This window comes from Homo sapiens, chromosome 11, assembly GCF_000001405.40.
Source record: "Homo sapiens chromosome 11, GRCh38.p14 Primary Assembly".
Lineage (NCBI taxonomy): Eukaryota > Metazoa > Chordata > Mammalia > Primates > Hominidae > Homo > Homo sapiens.
Genome location: NC_000011.10, coordinates 62,108,449 through 62,125,764, shown reverse-complemented (window position 1 = coordinate 62,125,764; position 17,316 = coordinate 62,108,449). Strand labels below are relative to the sequence as shown.

The following is a 17,316-nucleotide window of genomic DNA, read 5'->3' as shown; positions in this document are numbered from 1 at the left end:
CAAGGACTATTTGTTAAATGAATTAATCCACCCATCAACTCTACACCTAGAAATAAACATCCTATAGGTGCTCATCCCACCACACAAAGGGCACCAAATAAACTTAATCTGCACAGGTTAGAACTGACCAACACATGTTCAAAACCCCTGTTCCCAGATGCCAAGGGCAGCAATAATCAGGGCAGGGCCAAATGGGCAGGATCGTACAGGCTTTGGGCTGAAACCTCGGCTCTGCAGCCAGCCAATCATGGGCAAGCCCTTTTCACTGTCATCCCTCACCTTCCCCTAACCCTTCTGCACCCAGACCACAGCCCTGGCAAAGCGCAGGACCTCAGGCCAGAAAAGAGAAAACTGTTTAAGGAAGCCAAAGGTTTGCAGAGAAAAGCAACAACTGGCTAACTTTTTAAAAAGTATTTGTTCAAATGGGCAACGTGGATGAGAGCTTCTTTCACAAAGTCCATGAAAGCAATTGGACTTCTTTCACGGGGAGGTTTGCTTCTAGCAGACCTTAGCGCAACGATTTAAAAAGGGTTACCGTAAGTTAAAACAGAGGTGACCCTGAAAAAGAAGGAATCAGTGTACCAAGAATCAGGCTCCTGGAAGAGCAGCAAAAATCTCTTCTTCAACCCATGTAAGCACCTGCACACAGATAAAGAGCACTCAACACCTCACCGAGGAAGACACTCTCCAGTCTTCCTCCTCTCCAACACTTCTTCCACACCATACACCAGACTGAAGGCCCCATCGTCCTCCTCTATGACTCCTGTCCTTTTCAGGGTGCTGTAAGTTGGGCGCCTACCACACCTCTGTGCAGAAAGCGCATAGCAGCTGCTCCCATTTACTGAGTCATACTCCATGCCCGAGTCAGACATCATCTCATTTAATTCTCACCACAACCTTGAGGATACGCATGGGCAGATGAGGAAATTGAGGCAAAGAGAAGTCAAAATCAGCCGGTAAATCAGGGGCATAAATAGAACCGTGCCCTTAACCACGGGCTATACCGCCTTTAAACCGTGCCCTTAACCACTGGCTATACCGCCTTCTAGATATCAACTTCTGAAAGGCAGGTGCCCAGTCTTGGCTCTGGGCAACCCCGCGAGCAACCCATGTTAGCTGAATGAGACTGAACCGCTGACAGCGAACAGGCTTGGGGAGTGACAAGGGGCGGCCCAGCCTCCGGAAATGGTCAGTTTAAAATGCTGCTCAGCTGGGGGCGGGGGCGTTGAGAGAGGGGTTTAACTGCACAGAAATGCCATCTGGCATCATTCCGCCAAACAACCGGGTTGGTTTCGGGCTTCCTGCGCGTCCAAGTCAACACTAATCCTCACAGGCACAAGGTGCCAAGCAGCCGGGAGCGGAGGGAACGGGGCTATGCTCTAGGAAGCTGAGGGCCTAGGTGGAAAGGGTGGGAGGCATCTCGGGCCCGAGAACCAAGGCAGGCGACCTCGCCACTTGGAAGAGGTGACCCTCATATGCCCAGGTAGCCAGGGGCTGGGGTGGGGAGTCACGACCCTGGTCCGGAGTCGACAGGGACGGAGCAGAGGACCGGGGAAAAAATCGCGAACCACCCCCCAATCCCCACGCCCACGCGCACTCACTCGACTGCGCCACGTCCCCTGAAGGCTGCTCCGATCCAAGTCCGGTGGTATCCCTAGGTAAGGCCCCGCTTGCCCAGACCCACTTGGCTCCGGGCCTTCGGGACTCACCGCACGGGAGGAGCAACCAGGCGGCGCAGCGCGGGCGAAAACTATGATTTTCAAAACTGAAGGCTCAGCCAATCCTCGGCAAGTTTGTCCGGGCGGTTGCAAAATTTTAAGCCAATCAAATAACAGGAAGTACCAGTCAGCCCTCCTATTGGCCATATCCACTAGCAATCTGCGGGACTAAGAGGCGGGGAAAGGAAGCGAAAGACTTTAAGCCCCCTCAGCTTCCGGGTGCTGCGGCCGCGGCCGAGAGAGGAAGTAGATCCCCGCCTGGGAGGAGCCCGCAGACCTGGAACTACGAGTCCCGGCGAGCACTGCGAAGGCCACGCGCGGCTTTCTTTCTTCTCCAAGCACGGTGGCAGTCTTCTGATCTCTGCTGCTTTTTTTTCCTCATAAAAACATGTATGTATATACTTACATTGCTGAAAGACCAGCTTTTTAATGTAACAAATTATCTAGGTACAGAAGTCATAGGTTCCTCTTCCCATGAGAAAAACATTCCTCAAAATACAAACCAAACAGCATCCCAGAGGGAGTAAAATTTCATTGTACTGAAACATATACAAATTAAGGCTACCTTGGTATATAAACAATTTAGAAATTATGATGGAATAGTTCCACCAAATCATTTACGTATAGGAATTCATGCCATTTTTTAAAGAATTGGTAGTGGGGCTCAATTCAAACAATATTATGCATCCTTACATTCAACTTAATACACTTAGCAGCTATAAGGAGTGTAACTGTAACCCCACTTCCTGAAATCTCAGGAGTAATGTTAAAAATCCAAACCCATCAAAGGCCAGGGTGTTACGGTATTTGGCTCATGAATCGAAAAGCCTAATCATTTCAATTTAATCTTTACAAGTAGAACAAGATCCAAACATGGGACGTTTTCTTATTTTTCTTTGCTTTTGTGGTTGTAATGCCCTTTTGGTTTTCTGAGCAAGCTGAATACATCTGATAAATACTACCATTGGACAAAGGATCTAAACATTGAGATGTTTTACTAAATCAAGGTTTCAAGTTGGCACAATGTTTTTACTAAGTCATATTTCAATTAGTTCATCTTTCCAATATGGAGGCGGGGGGGGAAAGACAAGGACTAATATGTCCTATAAAGAATCTCTGGCCGGCGAGATCCCGCCACTGCACTCCAGCCTGGGCGACAGAGCGAGACTCCGTCTCAAAAAAAAAAAAAAAAAAAAAAAAGAATCTCTGGCCGGGCGCGGTGGCTCACGCCTGCAATCCTAGCACTTTGGGAGGCCGAGGCGGGTGGATTGCCTGAGCTCAGGAGTTCGAGACCAGCCTGGGCAACACAGTGGAACCCTGTCTCTACTAAAATACAAAAAAAAATTAGCCGGGCGTGGTGGCTTGCACCTGTAATCCCAGCGACTCGGGAGGCTGAGACAGGAGAATCGCTTGAACCCGGGAGGCAGAGGTTGCAGTGGGCCGAGATCGCGCCATTGCACTCCAGCCTGGGCCACAAAAAGCAAAAAACTCCGTCTCAAAAAAAAAATCTCTGCCGCTTTTGAGAAGTAAAAACAAAACGCCTTGTGAATGGCAACGGAGTGTGCGTTTATCTAGAGCCTTCTGTCATCTCTTGGGCGACAGAATCCTTGGTCACCTACCCTGGTACTGGACGTTTCTTGAGAGAAGTGGTTCTCATGCAGAGGAGGTTTTATCCCACCTCCGCCCCCCACATTTGGCAGTGTGTGAATTCATTTGGGTTTGGGAGAAGGGGTTAGTGGTATTTGGTGGGTAAAGGCCAGGGATGCTGCTGAACGCCATCTAGTGCATAAGACAGTCCCCACAGCAAGGAATTACCCGGCCCCAGATACCAGAATTGCTGCTGTTGAGAAACTGCTTTAGACAAAGTCACTTTACTCTGTGAGTCAAGGTTGCTGTTACCTGTAAAATAAGGCAGTTCAATCTTGAAGAGATTTGTACATCCACGGTCAGCTACCAACAGATAGTTTACCCTGTTCCCAGGTCGTCTGTAGTATTTTTCCTCTCCCTTTCTTCCCTCTCTTTATCAATTCTGTTTTTGCCTTTGTTATTTTACTCAGTTTACCAACTGACTCCATCATATGTGAGTAAATAATTTGTGAGCAAATTAACTAAACATTTCTGAGTTATTCTTTGAAGAATGTAAATAATTGGAAATCAGCTGAATCATAAAAGGATATGTTACCCAATCGTTAATCATTCTGTTTATTAATTCTGACATGAGTATCTCAAATTGTTTATTTGATTGTTACCTCGGAGAGTTTTCTACCCTGTGCAGTGCACTTTAGCAAGTTTCCAAGGGGATTAAGGTCCGTCTTTCTCAAGAGAGAGAAGAGCAACTATAAAAGGGGCTGAGGGGGCCGGGCGTGGTGGCTCACGCCTGTAATCCCAGTACTTTGGGAGGCCAAGGTGGGTGGATCACCTGAGGTCAGGAGTTCAAGACCAGCCTGACCAACATAGAGAAACCCTGTCTCTACTAAAAATACAAAATTAACCGGGCATGGTGGCATATGCCTGTGATCCCAGCTACTTGGGAGGCTGAGGCAGGAGAATCGCTTGAACCTGAAAGGTGGAGGTTGCGGTGAGCCGATATCGTGCCATTTTACTCCAGCCTGGGCAACAAGAGTGAAACTCCGTCTCAAAAAAATAAAAAAGAAAAGAAAAAAAGGAGGGGGGCTGAGGGAAAGGAAAACTAGTTTACTCCAGCCTGGGCAACAAGAGTGAAACTCCATCTCAAAAAAATAAAAAAGAATAGAAAAAAAGGAGGGGGGCTGAGGGAAAGGAAAACTAGCTAATGGCAGGTACATTCACAAGCAGATAAAAGAAGAAGTACAGTGCAGGCTGGGCGCGGTGGCTCATGCCTGTAATCCCAGCACTTTGGGAGGCTGAGGTGGGCGGATCACTCGAGGTCAGGAGTTCGAGACTAGCCTGGCCAACATGATGAAACCCCATTTCTACTGAAAATACAAAAAAAAAAAAAATATGGGTGTGGTGGCGTGCGCCTGTAATCCCAGCTACTCGGGAGGCTGAGGCAGGAGAATTGCTTGTACTCAGGAGGTGGAGGTTGCAGTGAGCCGAGATTGTGCCATTGCACTCTAGCCTGGGAGATAAGAGTGAAACTCCATCTCAAAAAAAAAAAAAAAAAAAGAAAAGAAAAAGTGCATACAGGACACACCTAAGAGAATATGAAATTGACTCCCTTAAAACTCTCCTTTTATTTTCCCCAAAGTCTTCTTTCTACCCCCAGTGGGGGACGTATTTCTTGATTTGCAGACCAGTGGACTGTATGCAACATTCCCCTTGCATTGAGGGCCTCTGGGGTAAAAGCTACAAAGGTTCACCACAGTCAAAGCTTTTGTCTGACCACTGAGCCGAGAATAGCCCTGAGCAAGCACATAAGCCCAAGTAAGACCAGAAGACCAGGATATAATTGTGTCCGCCTCCCTCTGGGCTTGGTTAAACTGTCTATGGCACCTGGCTGAAGGATACAGACTTCCAGGACCAGAAAGAATACGTAGGTAATGTGTAACCAGACTCTTGGAATGTGGGCCACGGAGCCACCCCACCTTTAAGCTAGAGAGTCCCCAGCACAGCCTATGGACTTAGAATGTCCCATCAATATTATAGTCATGGGTCAGGCACAATGGCTCACGCTTGTAATCCCAACACTTTGGTAGGCTGAGGAGGGTGGATCACTTGAGCCCAGCAATTTCAGACCAGCATGGGCAACATGGTGAAACCTTCTCTCTACAAAAAATACAAAAAATTAGCCAGGCATGGTGGCATGTGTCTGTAGTACCAGCTACTCATGAGGCCGAGGTGGGAGAACCACTTGAGCTGAAGAGGCAGAGGTTGCAGTGAGCCAAGGTTGCTGTGAGCAGAGATTGCGCCACTGCACTCCAGCCTGGGTGACAGAACTAGACACGGGTTAAAAAAAGAACAAAAAAAACTTTTATAAAGAAAGAACTGTAGATTCTTTCTGTGCTGCTTCAATATGTAAATAATTTTAAAAGCCTTTTGTCTGTTTTACAACCTAGGAATGTCTTTCTCAAAAACATGGGTGCCTGGTGTGAGATGTCAACCCAGCAATGCCATTGCTGGGTATATACCCAAAGGAATATAAATCATTCTACTGTAAAGACGCATGCACCCATATGTTCATCACAACACTATTCACAATAGCAAAAACCTGGAATCAACCTAAATGCCCATCAACAGTAGACTGGGTAAAGAAAATGTGGTACATGTACACCATGGAATACTATGCTGCCATAAAAAAGAACAAAATCGTGCCCTTTGTAGCAATATAGATGGAGCTGGAGACCATTATCCTAAGAAAACTAACACAGGTGCAGAAAACCAAATACCGCATGTTCTTACTTATAAGTGAGAACTAAACATTGAGAACACATGGACACAAAGAAGAGAACAATAGATACCAGGACCCACTTGAGACTGGAGTGTGGGAGGAGGGAGAGAATCAAAAAACTACCTATCAGGTACTATGCTTATTACCTGAGTGATGAAATAATCTGTACACCAAACTCCTATGACATGCGATTTACTTATATAACAAACCTGCACATGTACCACTGAACCTAAAAGTTAAGATTTTTTTAAAAAAACATGGGTACCATCTCTTTGAAATATAACCATCAAGAAAGATAGCACCCCTATCTCCCAGAGTCTGGAAGGACCCCTATCTCACTTCAATGGGTGCTGATTAACAAACACAGATGGCCTAATCACAGAGAAAAACCTTTGCAAAGTGTGGAATAACTCAATGCAATTCACACATCCCATTGATCAACCTCCCTCCTCATATGCTCCAGAACTTTTCTATTAGCTTACTCCAGCACTTAAAAACCCAACTGGGCACAGTGGCTCTTGCCTGTGATCCCAGCACTTTGGGAGGCTGAGGCTGGTGGATTACTTGAGGTCAGGAGTTCGAGACCAACCTGGCCAACATAGTGAAACCCCATCTCTACTAAAAATACAAAATTTAGCTGGGCATGATGGTAGGTGCCTGTGATCCCAGCTACTCAGGGGGCTGAGGCAGGAAAATCACTTGAACCCAGGAGGCAGAGGTTCCAGTGAGCCAAGATCATGTCACTGCACTCCAGCCTGGGTGACAGAGTGAGACTCCATCTCAAAAAAACAAAAACAAACAAAAAACCCTATGTACAATATATAGCAGCATTGCACTCCCACCTTTTGGTTAGTGGAGTTGAGCTCAGACTGTATTTAAGAGGTGACTGGGTCATGAGTGGGCTTTACCCCTGTGAATGGATTAATCCATTCATGTATGCATGGATCAATGGGTTAATGGATTAATGGGTTATCATGGGAGTAGGATTGGTGGTTTTATAAGAGAAAGAGAGACTTCAGCTATTGTGCTAAGCCCCCTTGCCGTATGATACCCTGTGCCACCTTGGGACTCTGCAGATAGTCCCCATCAGCAAGAAGGCCCTCACCAGATGCAGGTCCTTGACCCTGGACCTCTCAGTCTCTATAACGTCAAGAAATAAATTCCTTTTCTTTATAAATTACCCTCTTTCAGGTATTCTGTCATAAGCAACAGAAAAGAGGCTAAGACACTGACACATTTCTTTTCCTAGTTTAGATCTTAAACCAGGGGCCAACAAATTAGAGCAGTTAGGTCAAATCTGGCTTACCATGTTTTTGTATAGCCCATAAGCTGAGAATGGTTTTCACATTTTTCAATGGTTGAAAAAAAAATCAAAACAAGAATATTTTGTGACAGATGAAAACTTTAAGCATCCATAAATAAAGTTTTACTGGAACACAGCCAACATTAGACAATGCTGTACTACCTATGGCTGCTTTTGAGTAGGTGCAGTAAAGACCATTTCTGGTTTCATCATTTAGAACTGCTGCTTGGTGCACTACAAATTGCAGTGGCATAGTTATAATTCAACAGCATTTCAAGTGCCACACATATTACAATACCATGGGAGGTTTTTTTGTTTATTTTTATTTTTATTTTTCTCCAAGACAGAGTCTTGCTCTGTCACCTAGGCTGGAGTGCAGTGACACGATCTTGGCTCACTGCAACCTCCGCCTCCCAGGTTCAAGCAATTCTCTTGCCTCAGCCTTCCAAGCAGCTGGGATTACAGGCGCTTACCACCACGCCCAGCAAATTTTTGTGTTTTTAGTAGAGAGGGGGTTTCACCATGTTGAGCAGGCTGGTCTCGAACTCCTGACCTCGTGATCCATCCACCTCGGCCTCCCAAAGTGCTGGGATTACAGGCGTGAGCCACCACACCCAGCCATACTACAGTATTTTAAAATTACCAGTGCAAACCTATCAGCCTAAACAAAGCAAAAAAATGGATTTAGAATGTTGTGCTATTAAGGAACAGTGGAGTGTGGATTATTTTATCTAATTAGATGGCAAAGCAGTGTGTTTATTAGGCAATGATAGTAATCTGTGCTAAAGGAATATGATATATAGCAGCATTATCAGACTAAGCACTTACAATATTCCCAACTCACAGGAAAGCAATGTTCAAAAAATTATAAAATATAAAACATTATATCTCATCACAGTAGAATTTCTTCACAGAAATAAAAAATGAAAATTTGACTGCAACCAAAGTAAGTTTCCTAGTGCCTCATTTGTTAACCAAGCAAGGAAAACTGTTTTCTGCAGGTAATTTGATTAAATTGTGTTTGATTGCAGCAGCCAAGTAATGTGTCCACAGAAAATAAACTCTTAGCCTAGGCCAGGCAAGATGGCTCACACTTGTAATCCCAGCACTTTGGAAGGCCAAGGTGGGAGGATCACCTGAAGCCAGGAGTTTGAGACCAGCCTGAGCAACGAAGTGAGACCTCCATCTCTACAAAAAATAAAACTGATCATGGTAAAATTAGCTGAGCATGGTAGTACACACCTGTAGTCCCAGCTACATGAGAGACTGAGACAGGAGGATCACTTGGGCCCAGGAGGCTGTGGTCAGCTATCATCATGCCACTGCACTCCAGCCTTGGTGACAGAGCAAGACCTTGCCTCTAAAAAAATAAAACTATTAGCCTTTCGGTGAGAACAGTTGCTCAGAGAGTTGAGGACATTGGGAGCAATATCAATAGTTGTGGTGGGCCAAAGAGAAGCCCTCGAAAATATATATTCATGTCAAATTCATCCACTTCAAATCCCTGGAAACTGTGAATGCGACCTTATTTGGAAAAAGGACCCTTGCAGATGTAATTAAGTTAAGGATCATGAGATGAGATCATCCTGGATAACCTCAGTAAGTCCTAAATCCAATGACAAGTTTTCTTGTAGGAGACATAGACAAGAAGAGAAGATGATATGAAAATGGAGGCAAAGATTGGAGTGATGTGGCCACAAGCCAAGGAAACCAGCAACCACCAGAAGCTGAAAGAGGCAAAGAAGAATTCTGCCTCCCAGCCTCCAGAGGGAGTGTGACCCTGCTAACACCATGATTCAGACTTCCGGCCTCCAGAAGAATGTCTTTTTAAGCCACTACGTTTGTGGTAATTTGTTATAGCAGCCCTGGGAAACTAATACAGTTGTTAATTAAAAAAACAAGTCAAGTGATTTTAGGTAGTTTTTCTTGGCTCTTCATGAATTGACAGATGTTACTGATACTTCTCAGTTGTTTTTTACTTGAGTCAGTGCTGAGGCTGGCATGACTGCAGAGTTAGCCTCTATGAATAGACTGCATGGAATAACTATAGGAGGGAATATTTTCATAGAAGTTGAGGAAACACTAATTCAGTATAACCTGTAGTGGAATCTGCTAGGATGTGTTACAATTGATGGTAGTAAAAATGTATAGAGCAGATAAATGTTAATTGGACAAATTTACAAACCTTGTGACAGTGTAAGGTGTTAAAAACCTATGATTATTCATCATATTGTATATCAGTAGATACTTTCCTGAAAATATTTGAATCTGTCATGTGTTATTGAACCTGCAGTTTCAACAGGAAATTTAATTCACTCTCGTGCCATAGCCATCTTCAGCTCCATGAATTTTTGTCCAAAATAGAAACTGAATCTCTTTGCTTGCCCTATTACGCAGCAGTTCAAGGGATTCACAGTAGTAAAGATTTACTGTGATTGTTTAAGCTCAGAGCTGAATTTTTTCTGAATAGGAACTGCCCTCAACCCTTATTAAGGAACACTGAGTGGCTTTGGAAATTAGCTTTTGCTATAGACTTGGTAATATTTCTTAATGAATTCAACCTAAAATTAGCAGTCAAAACAGCACTAATATGCAAAACTTATACTGCAGTAAAGTCATTTTTATGATGGCTACACTGTTTGAATCACAAGTAAAGTCAAACTGCTTTACATGTTTCTTATGATGTCAAAAGTCAAAACAAGAATCAAAATCTGCATTCCCACACAAATTCGCAGCAGATAATTTTTCAAATTTAAGCTACAGTTCCAGTCAACTGTGCAACTGAGGAGCTTCTAATGCAGGGCAGGCTTAGCCTGGGAGAGTTCTTGGCTTTGCCTAGGAAACAAATCAAGGGCCAGCCAGAGGTTTTATTGAAGCAGCAGTGTGCAGAGCAGGGCTACCCCATAAGCAGTACACCCAGAGTAGCAGCTCAGAGGCAGTTCTGCGGTCATACTTACAACCACTTTTGTTTATATGCAAATTAAGGGGCAGATTATGCAGAAATTTCTAGAAATAAGGTGGTAACTTCCCAGTTGTCTCGCTGCCAGGGAAAAGGGCAGGAACTTTGGGGTGTTGCCATGGCAATGGGCATGGCACACTGGTGGGCATGTCTTTTTATTTTAATTTTATGAGTAAATGTGCAGGATGTGCAGGTTTGTTACATAGGTAAATGTGTGTCATGGGGTTTTGTTGTTAATATAGTTTGGCTCTGTGTCCCCACCCAAGTCTCATCTCGAATTGTAATCCCCCTGTATTGAGGGAGGGATTTGTAATCCCCTTGTGTCGAGCAAGGGGGGTGATTGGATCATGGGGGAGGTTTCCCCCATGTTGTTCTCATGATAGTGAGTGAGTTCTCACCTGATCTAATGGTTTTATAAGTGTTTGGAAGTTCTTCCTTCGCTCTTCTGTCTTCTGCCACCTTGTGAAGAAGCTACTTGATTCCCCTTCACTTTCTGTCATGATTGTAAGTTTCTTGAGGCCTCCCAAGCCATGTGGAACTCTTTCCTTTATAAATTACCCAGTGTTGGGTATTTCTTTATAGCAGTGTGAAAACAGACTAATACAGATGTACAGATTATTTCATTACCCAGGAATTAAGCCTAATATCTATTAGATATTTTTCCTGATCCTTTCCCTCCTCCCACCCACCGTCCTCTGGTAGGCCCCAGTGTGAGTTGTTCCCCTCCATGTGTCTATGTGTTCTTATCATTTAGCTCCCACTTACAAGTGAGAATATGCAGTATTTGGTTGTCTGTTCCTGCGTTAGTTTGCTAAGGATAATGGCCTCCAGCTCCATCCATGTCCCTGCAAAGGACATGACCTTGTTCCTTTTTATGGCTACAGAGTATTCCATGGTGTATATGTACTGCATTTTCTTTAGTCTGTTATTGATGAGCATTTAGGTTGATTCCATGTCTGCTGTTGTGAAAAGTGCTGCAGTGAACATACATGTGCATGTGTCTTTGTAACAGAATGATTTATATTCCTTTGGGTATATATCCAGTAATGGGATTGCTGGGTCAGATGGTAATTCTGTCTCTAGGTCTTTGAGGAATTGCCACACCCACACTGTCTTCCACAATGGTTGAACTAATTTACACTCCCACCAACAGTGTAAAAACGTTCCTTTTTCTCCACAACCTCACCAGCATCGGTTATTTTTTCACTTTTTAATAATAGCCATTCTGACTGGTGTGAGAATGGCTCATCGTGGTTTTCATTTGCATTTCACTAATGATCAGTGATATTCAGCTTTTTTTCATGATTTTTGGCCACAGGTATGTCTTCTTTTGAGAAGTGTCTGTTCATGTCCTTTGCTGGTGGGTGTGTCTTATGGGGTGGTGCTTTTGCCCCACGCCTGTTTTAACTAGTCCTCAATTAGGTCTGGTGTCCAAGCCCCACCTCTGGAGTTCCACTTCCTACTGCACTTCCACCTAACCTTCTATTGGCAGTGATTAATCTGCAATATGATGACCTGCAAAAAGGCAACTATCAAGAGAAGAATCAAATAGAATTCTGTAAATGCCTCCCTCCTATCCTGGCGATGAATATGATCAATTGAAGTCATATGCTGGGGGCCCCATACCAGTTTTTGGCAGTAAAGGACATTTCAAAAATGAAGTGGGTAAAATCTCACAGTAAATCTGTATTAACAGATGAACATTACAATCAATTTGTGTTTTAGAGCTAGAGAACACTAACTTTGAGCCGCTATTAAGGAAAATATTATCCTCAATATCCCACTCCCAAAAAAGAATTCCATACTTCTCATTAGTAGGCCTATACTAAAAATATATGTACTCTATTATAATATTTTTAATTTCATCAATTTAAAACATTGTGGCAATTTTGTTTTTCTCTCTTAAATGTCCTGGATTTTGTCTCTTGGCCTACAAAATCTAAAATAGTTACTATCTCACCCTTTAGAGGTCTGCTAACCCCAGCGCTAGAACACTTCTAGAACTGGCAGGGTGCAGTGGCTCACGCCTGTAATCCCAGCACTCTGGGAGGCCAAGGCCGTCAAATCACTTGAGGCTAGGAGTTCGAGACCAGCCCGACCAACATGGCGAAAGTCTCTACTAAAAATACAAAAATTAGCCAGGTGTGTTGGCGCACCTGTAATTCCAGCTAGTCAGGAGGCTGAGGCAGGAGAATCGCTTGAACCCAGGAGGGGGAGGCTGCAGTGAACCGAGATTGCACCACGGCACTCCATCCTGGGTGACAGTGGGAGAATACGTCTAAAGAAAAAAAAGGGGGACGGGCATGGTGGCTCATGCCTGTAATCCCAGCACTTTGGGAGGCCGAGGTGGGCAGATCATGAGGTCAAGAGGTTGAGACCATCCTGGCCAACATGGTGAAACCCCGTCTCTACTAAAAATACAGAAATTAGCCGGGCGTGGTGGCGCGCGCCTGTAATCCCAGATACTCATACTCGGGAGGCTGAGACAGGAGAATGGCTTGAACCCGGGAGGCGGAGGTTGCAGTGAGCCGAGATCGCGCCATTGCATTTCGGCCTGGCGACAGAGCAAGACTCCATCTCGGGAAAAAAAAAAAAGAAAGAAAAGAAAAAAGAAAAAAAAGGAACATTTCTAGAACTGAACATATTTGCCCCTTTAGGAACCTACAATGCAGTCCAAGGGACACAGGACTGAAGTCCCAACCCCACAGTCAGCCTCTCTTTAAACTTCAGCTACTGTTACAGCTCCTGCGGGGCAGAGGGCGCATGCGCAGCCCAGTCGTCCGCGCAGGCGCAGACGGTCCGAGGCTACTGAGTTTGCCAGGGGAGTGCGGGAAGAGGGGGTGCAGAGCTGGATGGTGTCCATCCCGGGCTGTTTGTGCCCAGGGGATTTGTACCCACCCTCGTGGACTCTGGGGCCTGCAGCCGTCGTTCTGGGAGTCTGGTGACCCGCGAGGCCGCTCACCCGGCCTGAGGAGGGGGTCGGGCTGCAGATGGTGATGTGCCTGGGAGTGGGTCCTGGCTCCTCTCGGACACCCCCAGCTTATCCCGAATGAAGTTTTCTTTTTATAAAAAAAAAAAAATCCATTTGTATTGCGAAATATAGAACACATCTTTTAAAAAGTGCACAAAACAGTTAAGCAGCTTATTACTTTATCAAAAACATTCCTGAAAAACCACCTCCCAGGGCAAGTAATAAAGCTCCATAGCCTCCCAGAGGCCTCCTGAGCCCTCCCGATACCCGCCCTCCTTAAATTAAAAATATGGTAATCATATTATTGCATTACCATCCAAGCAGCATCCCTAAGCATTATAGTTTAGTTTGCTTTTAAAATAATGCTTATGGCCGGGCGCAGTGGCTCACGCCTGTAATCCCAGCACTTTGGGAGGCCTAGGAGGGTGGATCACCTGAGATCAGGAGTTGGAGACCAACCTGGCCAACTTAGCGAAACCCGGTCCCCACTAAAAATACAAAAATTAGCCGGGCGTGGTGGCGGGCGCGCCTGTAGTCCCAGTTACTTGGGAGGCTGAGGCAGGAGAATCACTTGAACCTAGGAGGCAGAGGTTGCAGTGAGCCGAGATTGCACCACTGCACTCCAGCCTGGGGAACAGAGTGAGACTCCGTCTCAAAATATAATAATAATAATAATAATAATAATAATAATAATAATAATAATAATAATGATGATAATAGGCCGGGCGCAGTGGCTCACGCCTGTAATCCCAGCACTTTGGGAGGCCGAGGCGGGCGGATCACCTGAGGTCACGAGTTCAAGACCAGCTTGGCCAACATGGTGAAACCCCATCTCTACTAAAAATACAAAAATTAGCTGGGCATGGTGGCAGGCGCCTGTAATCCCAGCTACTCAGGAGGCCGAGGCAGGAGAATTGCTTGAACCTGGGAGGCGGAGGTTGCAGTGAGTCGAGATCGCGCCACTGTACTCCAGCCTGGGCGACAGAGTGAAACTCCATCTCAAAATAATAATAATAATAATAATAATAATAATGATACTTATAATAATGTAGCCTACCGTCTGCTCTTGCGTCTGGCATCTTTCACCTCCTCAGCTCCACAGGACTTTTTTTTTATTTTTCTGAGAAGGAGTCTCCCTGCCTCAGCCTCAGCCTCCCAGCTGGGATTGCAGGTGCCCGCCACCACACGGGACTAATTTTTGTACTTTTAGTAGAGGCAGGGTTTCACCACGTTGGCCAAGCTGGTCTCAAACCCCATTCTTTCCAGAATTACACTCTTTCTCTTCCTGTGATCCAGTGCCTGGAAGAGTTGCCTCATATTTTTTGTCTAGTTTTTCTGTAGTTTATGGTGGGAAGGCTAATTCTGTACCGGTTCCTCCACCATAGATGATAGCAGAAGTCACCCATGCTGTGTTTTATTTGAGGGCCTGTGTGTTGAAGTCTCAAAGGCTCCCTCTTGTTAGTTGTTGCCCTGTGATGATGGTGATGGCTGAGAGGCTCATTTACACCAACTAAAAAATGTGCAGACGGAAGGTTAATAAAAGAGTGCCTTTTGCCGGGCGCGGTGGCTCACGCCTGTAATCCCAGCACTTTGGGAGGCTGAGGCGGGTGGATCACGAGGTCAGGAGATCGAGACCATCCTGGCTAACGCGGTGAAACTCTGTCTCTACTAAAAATACAAAAAATTAGCCGGGAATAGTGGCGGGCGCCTGTAGTCCCAGCTACTCGGGAGGCTGAGGCAGGAGAATGGCGTGAACCTGGGAGGCGGAGCTTGCAGGGAGCCAAGATCGTGCCACTGCACTCCAGCCTGGGCGACAGAGCAAGACTCCGTCTCAAAAAAAAAATAAATAAATAAAAATAAAAATAAAAAAGAATAAAAGAGTGCCTTTTATCAACTTGCAGTAAAGAATAAAATTTCATCAGACTAGAATGTTTGTGTGCATATTATTGTTCAGTCTCTTTCATAAGCAGAGCACATGAGGAAAATGATAATCAGCCCCTTTTTTTTTTCCAGAGAGAGGATCTCAATCTGGCACCCAGGCTGGAGTGCAGTGGCATTATCATAGCTCACTGCAGCCTCAACCTCTGGAGCTCAAGCAGTCCTCTGCCTCAGCCTCCCAAGTAGCTGGAACTACAGGCACATGCTATCACACCCAGGTAATATTTTACTTTTTTGTAGAGATGTGGTCTCACCATGTTGCCCAGGCTGGTCTCAAACTACTGGCCTCAAGTAATCCTCCTGCCTTGGCCCACCAAAGTGCTGGGATTTTAGGCGTGAACCACTGCACCTGGCCAGAGGCTTTTATTGAGGGTTTAGTATGAAGAATTATTGTCATGAGTAGCCAGTTAACCTGGGGGCAATCCAGTGTGTTCTCTCTCTAAGGCACAATGGAAGCCACGGATAATCTGAAGGTTGTCAGTACTCACGGAGTTAGCATGGGGTTGCTAATAGTTTAGAGGAATATTTACCAATTAGAGGAATTATTAATGGCATCAAACTATGGAGGACGCCTCAGACACAGCCAAGGACCTAGTAAGGCACACAGGGAGAACGCCATGTGATCATGAAGGAAGAAGGCCAATTCGAGGAATGGTTAATGGCATCAAACTATGACAGCTTAGTGCATTCCATTTATATCAGAGAGAGTCTTGCCGATGGAATCAGAAATACATGAAGTCCTCCAGCCATAACTCCCTGCATCTATCTCCACCTAAAAGGAGAACCTGTCCTTTAGAACAGGAGATACTTCAGGTTTGGTGACTGAAACTCATTCTCCCTTATACAGCGCTTGGATAGGAAATGCCAACATTTGCTTCTCTGACTTTCCTTTTGCTTTGCTCAGGTGACCTTGCGTGTCTCTGCTCTGATCCCTTATAAGTGATCTCAGAGTTGAGCTCCCAGGTGACAACTGTGTTTTCCGTTTTCCTCATTTCCAGCTTCATCAGAAGCACCTCTCTGTAGCTCCAAGTATTGAAGGTAGTCGAGCACGTTAATTCTTCATTGCATTCTAAGCCTAACTTCTATTACAGAATAGTTTGTCTGGCTGTGGGCAGTCCAGCTTTCTCTGTTTCTTTGTCATACTTTCTTTGTAAGGGCACAGCACCCTTTTTTACCCTGGCTGACAAAGACATTGTATAAGGAATTCCTGCTCAGGATGAGTCACTGGACTGGAGATTCGAAGTTCACATATCCTTACAATTTGAAGTTTTCCAGTCGTTGGCTGCTTTGGGGAAGTCAACTTAATTTGGTTCAGCAAAATCAAAGTAACCACTGAAAAGTGTTTGAGGGATAAATCTCTGCAAAATCTGTATTCACTTGCTAGAGCTGCTGTAACAGTGTCACAAACGGAGCAGCTTAGACCGCAGAAATGTGTAATCCCACGATTGTGGAAGTCAGAAGTCTGAGATCAGGGTGTTGGTTGGGTCAGCCCCTTCTGAGAGCCATGAGGGTGAATCTGTTTGGTGCAGCTGTCGTGGCTTCTGGTGTTTTGTTGTTGTTATTGTGTTTTTTTTTTTTTTTGAGATGGAGTTTCACTCTTGTCGCCCAGGCTGGAGTGCAATGGTGCGATCTTCAGCTCACTGCAACCTCCACCTCCTGGGTTCAAATGATTCTCCTGCCTCAGCCTCCCAAATAGCTGGGATTACAGGCGCCGCCACCATACCCAGCTAATGTTTGTATTTTTAGTACATGGGGTTTCACCATGTTGGTCAGGCTAGTCTTGAACTCCTGACTTCAGGTGATCCACCAGCCTCCGCCTCCCAAAGTGCTGGGGTTATAGGCGTGAGCCACCACACTGGCCTGGCTCTGGTGTTTTGCTGAAAATCTGCCTTCATGATCACACGGCATTCTCCCTGTGTGCCTTACTAGGTCACGTAGCTGTGTCAGAGGTGTCCTCCACAGCAAAAGTCGCAGTGGGAGGCAAACCAAACATGAGGTGGTATCTTGCTTTCCCTGCCACAGAAGGACGGGTCATGGTAGTTCCCCAGCAACTCCAGAAAT

General features: G+C 45.3%; 1 protein-coding gene and 1 long non-coding RNA gene across 9 annotated transcripts in view, besides 3 other annotated features; one reads left to right on the top strand and one right to left on the bottom strand.

The window, feature by feature from the left end:
- Positions 1-1,754, bottom strand: part of INCENP (inner centromere protein) — a 29,159-nt gene extending 27,405 nt beyond the window's left edge. For all 8 annotated transcript variants that reach the window (XM_011544995.4, XM_006718533.4, XM_011544996.4 and 5 more), the window contains exon 1: positions 1,602-1,754. The gene's annotated coding sequence lies outside the window, so the exon portion shown is untranslated. The remainder of the gene's footprint in view (positions 1-1,601) is intronic.
- Positions 883-1,464: an enhancer, noted in NCBI's record as "H3K27ac hESC enhancer chr11:61891773-61892354 (GRCh37/hg19 assembly coordinates)". NCBI's record gives its function as "activates a minimal SCP1, AML or CMV promoter by ChIP-STARR-seq in primed H9 embryonic stem cells {active_cell/tissue: H9 hESC(primed)}" and the evidence as "EXISTENCE:reporter gene assay evidence [ECO:0000049][PMID:30033119]".
- Positions 1,454-1,523: an enhancer, noted in NCBI's record as "active region_4812". NCBI's record gives its function as "activates an Ori minimal core promoter by ATAC-STARR-seq in GM12878 lymphoblastoid cells {active_cell/tissue: GM12878}" and the evidence as "EXISTENCE:reporter gene assay evidence [ECO:0000049][PMID:35858748]".
- Positions 2,054-2,143: an enhancer, noted in NCBI's record as "active region_4811". NCBI's record gives its function as "activates an Ori minimal core promoter by ATAC-STARR-seq in GM12878 lymphoblastoid cells {active_cell/tissue: GM12878}" and the evidence as "EXISTENCE:reporter gene assay evidence [ECO:0000049][PMID:35858748]".
- Positions 2,054-9,297, top strand: LOC124902681 (uncharacterized). Its single transcript, XR_007062697.1, has 2 exons — positions 2,054-2,108; positions 9,022-9,297. It is a non-coding gene; the product is annotated as an uncharacterized LOC124902681 (long non-coding RNA).
- The last annotated feature ends 8,019 nt before the right edge of the window (positions 9,298-17,316 follow it).